Here is a 10,719-nt window from a genome sequence, read left to right as displayed (position 1 = left end):
TTTGGAGGCCTGTGTATCTGTTTTACCTCTATTACCATTTGTATGGTCAAGTAGAGCATAATGAGAGGAAACACTGGGCAGAGTATCTGTCATTTTATTCAGTTGATACACACTGTGAAGATAAATGTTTCTAATAAGGTAAGCAAAAATGAGCATTGTCATACAGTGCATAGCCAGCTGGAAGTAAAAACATTAAATGCAAATGAAGGAAACCCAGTCCAAATCAAATTCATGAGCTACAGAAATGGGACCTGGGTATGTTTTAAAAATTGTTTTGTATGTATTACTATTTTCTTAAATTATATGTTACAGATCAGGAGTGTCCAATATTTTGGCTTCCCTGGGCCGCATTGGAGGAAGAAGAATTGTCTTGGGCCACACTAAAATACACGAACACAGTAGCTGATGACCTTTTAAAAGTGGCAAAAAAAACTCATAATGTTTTAAGAAAGTTTATGAATTTGTGTTGGGCCACATTCAAATTTGTTCTGGGCCGCATGCAACTCACAGGCTAGGGGTTGGACAAGCTTCTTATAGACCCTTTCTATAATCTGTTCTATAAAATAATAATTTCCAGTGATGAAATTATTTTCTTCATTATTTACCAAAGATATCTTAATCTTTTAAGGTATTTAAGGTATCTACTATTTCTGCAGTGAACAAAATTCTTCTGTGAAAAAGTGGCCTACAGCCTGTGGGTGTGTGTCTTTCTCTACATGTGTGTGTGCTTGTGGGTGTGTGTCTATGTATGCACCATTGGGTGTAATCCTTATATTTCTTACTACCTAATCTAGTTCTTTATTTACACTATACATATTCTGGAGTTTACGCTAAATTACTCTTCTATATTAAATTACAAATCCTCATGAGGAAATGTCTCTTCGTTCCTTTGGAAGTTAAATTTAATATAGTCATAGTAAAGTTTATTCTCAAGACTTTTAGCAATATCTAATAAATATGTCTAAGTAAGAACATGCATTATTTTTATATCATCAAACTCAAGGACAATATCACTGGGGCAACTTTATAGCATTTTAAAAATTAAATACATATAATTCTTTTGTTGAAGTTGCCTAGGAACACATTGTATTTGAAAATGCTTCCAAGAATCACAGTAAGGTGGAAGGAGTAGATTGGAGCCAAGAGAAGATTTTACTTTACAAATACAGTTTACACTAAACTCCTTTCAAAAAATACAACTGGAGTTGTGGTGGTAAGTTTGCTTCTGAGTTAGATAGAAAATGTCTACCTCTTAATTAGTCATATTTGTTAAAATATAAAAAATTGTCACATCTTCTCTCACATGATTTGGTTGCTAGACTACATAGTTAATGATGTGTAATTTATGAATGTGTAACTACTCCCTTCATAACCCGAGGAAACATTTTAGTTGCCTTATTCCTCCTAATAATTTAGCTTCAATTTTGAAAGTGCTTCCAGTTTATGAATCAAAAAAGGGTTATGAATAAAATAATCTTTGTGATATCATTTTGCTTTCTGAGTAAGGAAATATTGGGGTCTGGGAACAGCAAAAGCAAAATAATACCCAGCGTTAGGGAAGGCATGAAGAAGGCAAGTTGTGCTATTCAAAAGTGGGCTGTTTTGGCTTTTTGCAAAATATAAATGTGTTCTGTTCTTTCTTATTACTTTTTTCCATGGGTCTAAGCTTATTATTTTATCACAATTCACTAAACACCACTTCAATTGGTTTATATTTTGTATAAAGTACCATATTAACTAGTATGCCAATTACAGGTATAAAATGCAATCTGAATGTGACCTTAATGTAATTCAAGAATTGCATAATCATATAATTAGAGTTCTGATTGGTTTTATTTGAACAGGCAGCGATCTGCATCTCAAAGACGTAGGAAGCACAAGGCATTCCTGCAGCAAATATATTATTGCCTGTGTTTTATGTCTCCATAATATGTGACAACTTATATTTGTTCTACATATTTATCTAAAATGGCAGTTCAACAAATACTGTGGATAAAATAACCCAAAACATCAAACTTCTTTATATTACAGGTTGAACATTCCTAATCTGGAAATTCAAAATCTGAAACACTCCAAAATCCAAAACTTTTTTGGTGCTGACATGATGCCATAAGTGAAAAATTCCATGAAGACCTCATGTCATATTCCTGGTCAAAATTTTGCTTCATGCATAAACTTATTTAAAATATCTCATAAAATTACTTCATGCTATGTGTATGAGATATATATAAAAAATAAATGTTATGTTTCGATTTGGCTACCATCTCCAAGCTATCTCATTATGTATATACAAATATTTAAAATTCACCAAAAAAATCTAAAATCTGAAACACTTCTGGTCCCAAGCATTTCAGATAAGGCATATTCAAACTTTATATCAATATGCTAGATATTCTCTGGGTAGAAGTCTCCTGCTCCTCTGAAGTCACTTGAGATAGGTTCAAACCTCCAATTCCATGATATGTGGAAACATAAGCCTTTTTTCCAAGTGTTGCATGAATTTACTGGGGCTTCTGTGGTTATGGTTTCTCTATCCTTGAGCTCAGGTTTCTGTACATGCTGTGTTTCACCCCACCCAACTTACCACCATTCACAAGACTTACAGGGAAATATCCTACAAGAAAACACTCATAACTAAAGTAGTTCCATAGAAGATTGATTGGGAAGGATATTATAATGAGGTGCTGAAGTTGGAGGAGGTAAGGCTGAAGTAATAGAAATAACTAGAAAGGAGACAGTTGCTGTTGGATGCTTCTTAAAAGCCTCCTGTTGCACACCGTCTCTCTGGTTCTTCTGACTTTCTTGCTGTTCTGTATTTGTCTCCATACATTTATCTCTCAAGAGCTGAACAAATTCCTTTCCGTGTCTCCTAGAGAAAAATTTAGTCACAATTGTTTGTTTCTTGGTTTTTCCTGATCCTAATGTCTATAGTACCTAACCTCTGCAGAAAGTAGCTTAGCACAGTAGTTACCCAAAGACATTTTTTTTTCCTTAGGTAAGTTCTTATTTTGTCTTGTCCATGTGACTTTTGTGAAGGAAATGTTCTCATGTGAATGAAGCAGAAATGGTTTACTTGCAATAGCTGAGGTTTACGTTCCCAAGTTAGGACTGCAGGGGGTGTCCTGAGGCTGATGTGTGTACCCAGCTCTTCACAGTGATGGCCATATCAGTTGCCACATTCACTCTATGATACAGCTACCTCTGCAAAAGTAGAACAGCGTTTTCATAGGCAGGGACATATTTCTCTAGTTTCAAAGGAACAGATTTACTACTTCCAACTTTATAAGAAAAGTGAGTCTTTTCCTTTAGTTTAAGAAGTGACAAATATAACCTCCAAAAGCACTGAAAAAGAAAGAAGTGACAATTGTGTTACTGGTTTTTGCGGTATTAGCAAAACCCGACATTTTTTATATAATAAATTACTGAATTTGTACTGCTGTACCTTCATAATAAAATTACATTTATTATACAATAATTTATAAGTTATAATATATATTATCAAGTCAGAGGGTAGCTTCTTGTCATATTTTTGCAGAAATATTATCTGTAAAAGACCTTATTTCCAGAACAGGGTCATTAATCCAGAATATCTGAATAGTTGTCTTAGAAATGCCTCAGGAGTTACAACAAAGAAACCAAAAGTAATTAAAAACATTTTATATCTTGGCAGGTGAACAGGGCCAAAATGGAACTGAAAAATTAAAATTAACCCAATGGTGGTTGAGATTTTGCTTTCTATTTCATCCTCAATCCATCCACTTTCTGTGAATACACCAGCTCACACACACATAACCATTTTTGAAAGATAATACAGAAATATTTATTTTTGCAAATAATATGAGCTGAGTCCACAAAATGCCCAGACATTATCATAGGCCTGACATGCTTATACTTTAGACATGTCTCCATATCTAAGAATTGTTTTACACTGTTGCTTAGCAACAATCTGGTCATTTAATTCAAAAGCTATTTCTAAACTACAAAGCCTTTTGTGAAAAAGAAATCAAATAATCTGATTTTTTTGTGTGTATAGAAAAAATGCAGAGAAGGTCTTATATTTTGCATAAAGGGACTATAGTCTTAAATCTGGAAAATAACACTGACTGAATTATTTGTTATAATTTTTAAGTCTTTGTATTTAAAATATTAAAAATAATGAAGTCAAGTGTACTTTGCTCTGCTTATTCAGTTGCTGGTTAATGTGACATCCAATTTATATCCTAAGTTAAATGTGTCTGGGAGCTAATCTTTTAAGGAAAGCCAGTTGAAAATGTGGTCCTTTGGGTTTTGTTTGTTTTGTTTTGCCTGAAGAAGAAAAGATTAAGGAGGTACTTAATATTTAAAACACATAAACATGTATTATAACCATAGTACTTATGCATCTATTATAGAAACTTGCTACATTCTACCTGGTATTAGAGTTTTCTACATATTTTATCTCCCACACTATTGACTGTACTCTATAATCAGCTATCCTTTCTTATTTCAGTTTTCTATAATCTATTATTGTCTTGTATAAAACAGGCACTTCATAAATATATATCAAGTTTAATATATTAATAATAGTTATAATAATAATAACAATGACATTTTTGACCAGTTATCTATGTGCCATGCATTTTACTAATGATCTATTTTAATGGTAAGAACAATTATGGCTATTTTTTCTGCTTCTATCAAGGACAGAGAAGAAGAAAATCTTAAATTATAGCTACTGTAGAGGTTGGGAAACACTAAAATAGGTGACCAAGAACTTGCATTCTTTCACATTGTGATAATAAGGTAAAGTTAAATGCTTATATTTTTGGATACTAATGGGTTTCCATAATTGTTTTTCACAAACTTAGATCTCAGGCCACATCAGGAATAATAATTTATATCATAGTGCAGTGGATATTTGTTGATTTGACCTGTGTCAAATTTTGTGTCACTGTTTTTGCTGTTTTCTTTTTAACCTACGAAGTCTTGTCTCCATTCTCATTTTGTGTAGTTTCAGTGGGACAATCCCAGCCCCCAACTTGAGAAAGAGTAACATAAGCCAGGCCTTGTCTATGACAGTGGCCTTCCCTTTGGCTATGGTAATCGAGTTAGCACTGTATAGTACATGCCCCCACAAAGGAAACAATTGGTAGCACCATTGTAACTGGGGAAAAAGGTGTGATCTTTTTATTGGGATTGCTGAGCTGGTTGAACTAAAGTCTAGAGTTACTTTTGGTCACTATTTCTTCAGCAATGTCTTTCTGAAAATGAATCTAGGGCAGAAGAAACATTGCCAAGGCAAACATCACAGAATAATTGTTGCGGTTGTGAAAGGAAAATAAAAACATGGGAAACAATTCACTATGTCTAAAGGAAAAAATTAAGCTGAAAACTGAGTCACACAAAAACTGCTTTTCCTTTTGTTGCTAAGCAGATAGCTACAGGTTAAAGGTTAAATCTCTCCACAGGTAACTACTCTATGTTCACCCTATCTTATGTAAAGTGCCAATTTACTAAGTACTAGAGGAATATGTAATTGATTATTCCCCTGCCTGCTCCCTTTCTATTGCACTTGTGGATTACCATACACTCCCTCCTTCCCCTCCAGCCCACTTTTCCCCCTTTAAATATTGAACTTCTCAAATTCATCTTTGGAGAAAGTCACAGACCACAGACAGTTTCTGTGATTTTATGTTCTTTTCTTCCAGGCATGTCTTTAACCTTGGCAAAATAAACTTCTAAATTGATTGAGTCCCATCTCAGATACTTTTTGGTTTACACTGTCAATATTCACCAATCGATGTTAAAATCATTGAGTGAAAGTTTGAAGAGAAAAATGATATTAACATAGTCTCAAAGTGTCTCCCTTTAGTTATCTATCAATTGCAAAGGGGAAAATGTTAATTTTACAATGGAAAAACCTGGTAGAGAAACCTTAACCAAGTAATCAAGGTTAACATCGACAGGAATAATATATATTGGCACTGTGTTCCCCCAATAATATGTACTTATAGGGGAAAAATAATTCTGTTATTCATGCCAAAAGTGCAAAACCTCAATCTAATCATAAAGAAACATCAGACAAAGACAAATTCAGGCACATCTACAGAATAATGGACCAGTACTTATAAAAAGTACCAAGATAATGAAAGGTAAGAAAAGACGGTGGAATTGTCCCAAATAGAAAGAGACTAAAAAGACACAGCATTAAATGCAATGTGGCAGCCTTGATTGGATCTTAGAAAAGAAAAAAAGACTTTCAGGGAAAAAAACTACCTGATGAAATTCAAATAAGATCTGTAGTTTAATAGTCGTGTTGTAACAATGTTAATTTCCTGGTTTTAAAATTATGGCTATCTAAATTTTTAACAGTAGAGAAAACTAAGGAAAGAATATGTGTGAACTCTTTGTAATATATTCCTGATACAGTTTGGCTGTGTCCCCACCCAAATCTCACCTTAAATTGTAATAATCCCCACATGTCAACGGTGGGGCCCGTTGGAGATAATTGAATCATGGGGTGGGGGGTTTCCCCCATACTGTTCTCCCAGTAGTGAATAAATCTCATGAGATTTGATGGTTTTATAAATGGGAGTTCCCTTGCATACACTCTTTTGTCTGCCACCATGTAAGACGTGACCTTGCTCCTCCTTTGTCTTCCAACATGATTGTGAGGGCTCCTTAGACATGTGGAACTGTGAGTCCATTAAACCACTTTTTCTTTATAAACCACCCAGTCTCGGGTATGCTTTTATTAGTAGTGTGAGAATGGACTAATATAATTCCCAATGTTCTTATAACTTCTAAATGTATTTTAAAATAAAAAGTTAAAGAAACTGAGTCAAGAGATTAACAAAAATAGACTCCTGGTAATTGTATGTACCTCTGTCCAGCCATATTTGAACACAAACCTACCACTATACTTTTCAGGTACATGGGTCAAAAAATTATGTAATCATTTTAATTGGGTTTCTTCTCACTTCCATGCAAAAGAGATATGACTAATATATATTTCTTTTTTTCTCTGGTGAATTTACTGTGGCCTGTGTAGAAAATACCTCATTACCAATGAGGTGCTTCACATAAGGGAATTTTCCAGATAACTTCTATACTCAAGGCAATAATTTTTTCAGTTTAATAATCTTGCATGGAGGCTTTTCTATAATGTACTTTTCACTTTCCTGGCTTTGCTGTGGAGTACACAGAAAATGATTTTTTATTCATTCAATGACTTTGAGTCATCACTCTGAACATAAATCATCTTATATAATAATAGCATGTGATGGCATCATGATCGATTGAGGTGTGGAATTGTATGTTTCTCTTCTACATTAATTGGCCTCTGCTAAGGTTTTTTGTCTATATTTATAATTTTTGTGACTGTTTCTCAGCTTATATGGTTTTATACACATTTTTCTGCTCTTAAACTATATTTAGCAGATCTTCCCCCTGTAGAACTTGCTGCTACGTATCTGCCTTAGAGAACACGATCTTAATAAAATCATCTAAAATAATAGTCGTGCTCTGAATGAAGATCTCTCATATAATCAAAGTTCCTGTATTTTGTGCTGTTGATTTTGGCCAAAGAGGTTGGTTGGTTTTGTTTTCTTCATACTAATAAGTATGGACTATGATCTAGAAGGGTGAATTTAGTTAATGTATGACCTTGGAATATGAGAGTATAGTTCTATTAGAAACTAAGGTTTGTAGTTTACATTATTATTAACATTTTTAAGCATTTTTTTCTCAATAAGTCATCAGTATACTGTTCACTATGATACCTTTTCCAAAATGACCTATGAAAAATGAACATCACATATAACAAGAACTAAAGGTAGTTCCCTTGGACAGATTAAATGTTTCTCCATGTGCCAGGGCCTGTGATTACTTTGATTAGTTCTTCCTGCTTATAGAACTATTCATGACATGTCTCTTATGACAGGTCTTTTGTCCTTGCTGATGTGAATTTAGAGGCTTTTCTTTTTCTTTCTTTCTTTTTTTGTATAAATTTATCCATTCCCTACAGCCAGCTTAAATGCCCATCCCTTTTTATCTCGGTCACCTTCAAAATTTGTCCCTTGCACATGTACTGAACTTGTAATTAATCTGAGCTGATTGCACTTTTCTTCACTGCCCATATGCATCTATTATTATCCATTCTTCTTTTTTTTTCCTTCCTTCAAGTCAGCACCAGCTATACTGTGCTGTCATTTCCTTGGCTTGGAATCAATTCTCTTTTGCTGCCAAGTGCCATAGATCCTATAAAGTGCTTCTGTTGCAGTAGTAATTTTGTTACCTAATATAAATGAAGAGCAAAACTTCAGAGCCGTTACTATAAATAGCATAGAGCTTCTCAAAAGTCTCCCACTGATTGTTCATCAGGCTGATTTAATCTCTACTAATAGTCTTAATTCATAAATTGACATTTTAGCAATCCATTCTGGATTTTTTCCCACCACAGTGCAAATTAATTTTTCTTATTGTATGTAGAGAAATAGCTCTTCATTGTTTGTTTGTTCATTTTAGAACATTTATATGTAAATATGTCTAATCCCAAACAGAAAAAAGGAATTAAAAAGAAAATCCAGGATTTCCCAGTATTTCTTATCTTTGTGAACTATTTGCCCCTTAACCTTTTGAACAGAATATAATTTGGAGGGCCTCCTTTGGTACATTTTGTCAATTAGGATCATCAGTTGGTAAGCAAATATATGGACCATTGACTATGCTTAGGGTGTAGTGTTTAGTAAAAGGGAAATGATGCACTGATGTAATGGAGACAATCCTGGGCTGGGAGCCAGAGAGGTGAGTTTTAGTTCCAACCATGCCAATATATTTCTGTGCACTCTTGTGAGTTTACTGTGGCTTGTCTAGAAAATTCTGTCTTCTGAACATAGCTAGGTATGACTATGTGAACTTAAGTTGCTTCCATCTCTAATAGTTTATGAGTCTAGAATACTGTGTTCCTTTAGAAATTCACAATTTGAGATGGAGAATGATGAGTTCTGTTGTCCGCAATTCCTATGAGAATTTGTTGTCTGCAATTCCTATGAGAATTTGAAGTAAAGGAACCATGTCTTATCCTGTGTATTGTCCCAACTTCCAGCATAGTCTGAAACAGTTGTTTCCCTCTAACACACAAATGACAGACGGCATTCATATTCAAGACATGTTCATAAGTCTCCATGATATTATGAACTGTTCCATGATGGTAACTTTCACCTTTTTTCTTTCATATTAAAATCCAATGATACTATTGAGTCTGCTTTTAAAAATGTATTAAAACATCTTTTTCAGATATTATTAAAACACAATATGTCTTTCACATATTTAAAGTGTAAAATTTAATGTGTTGACATATGTATATCGCTAAAGAATTATCACCACAATCAGGATAATGAACACATCTATCAACTCTAATTATTTCTCTGTGCTTCTTTATAATCTGTCTCATCTGCTCCTCCATCGTCTTTCTTCATCAATAAGCAAATACTGATCTTATTTCTCCCATTAGAGATTATTTTATGTCTTCTAGAAGTTGAAACAAATTGAATCAGTAAACAAGAAGATATTAACACTATGGCAGGGGGTGGTCTGGCTTCTTAAGCTGCATAATTGTTTTTATATTCATCCACCTTTTGTGAGTTCATAACTTTTTACGAAAATAGACTTTGTTTTTTACAGTGGTTTTAGGTTCACAGGAGTATTAAGCAGAAGGTACAACAATGTTCCATATCCCCATCTGCCCTGACACATACATAGCCTCACCTATTATTAAGATCACCCATCAGAGTGGTACACTTATTACAACTGGTGAACTTACGTTGACATGTCATTATTACACAAGGTGTATAGTCTACTCTAGAGTTCGCTCTTGGTGCTATATATTTTATGGCTGTGGATCAATTTATGTTGATATGTATTCATTATTATGATACAGAGTAGTTTCACTGCCCTGAAAACCCTCTCTGCTCTATGTATCCCTCCCTTCCCACTAACTCCTGGTAACCAATGTTCTTTTTAGTGTCTCCATAGTTTGACTTCTATAGAATGTCATCTGGGCAGACAAGTCAATCTTAAGCCAAAAGAACAAAGCTGGAGGCATCACGCTACCTGACTTCAATTATACTACAAGGCTACAGTAACTAAAACAGCATGGTACTGATATCAAAACAGAGATATAGACCAATGGAACAGAACAGAGCCCTCAGAAATAATACCACACATCTACAGCTATCTGATCTTTGACAAACCTGACAAAAACAAAAAATGGGGAAAGGATTCCCTATTTAACAAATGGTGCTGGGAAAACTGGCTAGCCATATGTAGAAAGCTGAAACTGGATCCCTTCCTTACACCTTAAACAAAAATTAATTCAAGATGGATTAAAGACTTAAATGTTAGACCTAAAACCATAAAAACCCTAGAAGAAAATCTAGGCAATACCATTCAGGACATAGGCATGGGCAAGGACTTCATGTTTAAAACAGCAAAAGCAATGGCAACAAAAGCCAAAATTGACAAATGGGATCTAATTAAACTAAAGAGCTTCTACACAGCAAAAGAAACTACCATCAGAGTGAACAGGCAACCTACAGAATTGGAGAAAATTTTTGCAATCTACTCATCTGACAAAGGGCTAATAATCCAGAATCTACAAAGAACTCAAACAAATTTACAAGAAAAAAACAACCCCATCAACAAGTGGGCAAAGGATATGAAGAGACACTTCTCAAAAGA

General features: G+C 34.2%; 1 long non-coding RNA gene across 1 annotated transcript in view; it reads right to left on the bottom strand.

The window, feature by feature from the left end:
- Nucleotides 1-2,640: 2,640 nt before the first annotated feature.
- The window catches only part of LINC02426 (long intergenic non-protein coding RNA 2426), a 39,415-nt gene continuing 31,336 nt past the window's right edge, over nt 2,641-10,719 (bottom strand). The window contains exon 3 of the long non-coding RNA NR_110089.1: nt 2,641-3,342. This is a non-coding gene — a long non-coding RNA (long intergenic non-protein coding RNA 2426). The remainder of the gene's footprint in view (nt 3,343-10,719) is intronic.

This window comes from Homo sapiens, chromosome 12, assembly GCF_000001405.40.
Source record: "Homo sapiens chromosome 12, GRCh38.p14 Primary Assembly".
Classification (NCBI taxonomy): Eukaryota; Metazoa; Chordata; class Mammalia; order Primates; family Hominidae; genus Homo; species Homo sapiens.
The sequence above is the reverse complement of the archived record's forward strand: the minus strand, read 5'-3'. Positions and strand labels throughout refer to the sequence as shown.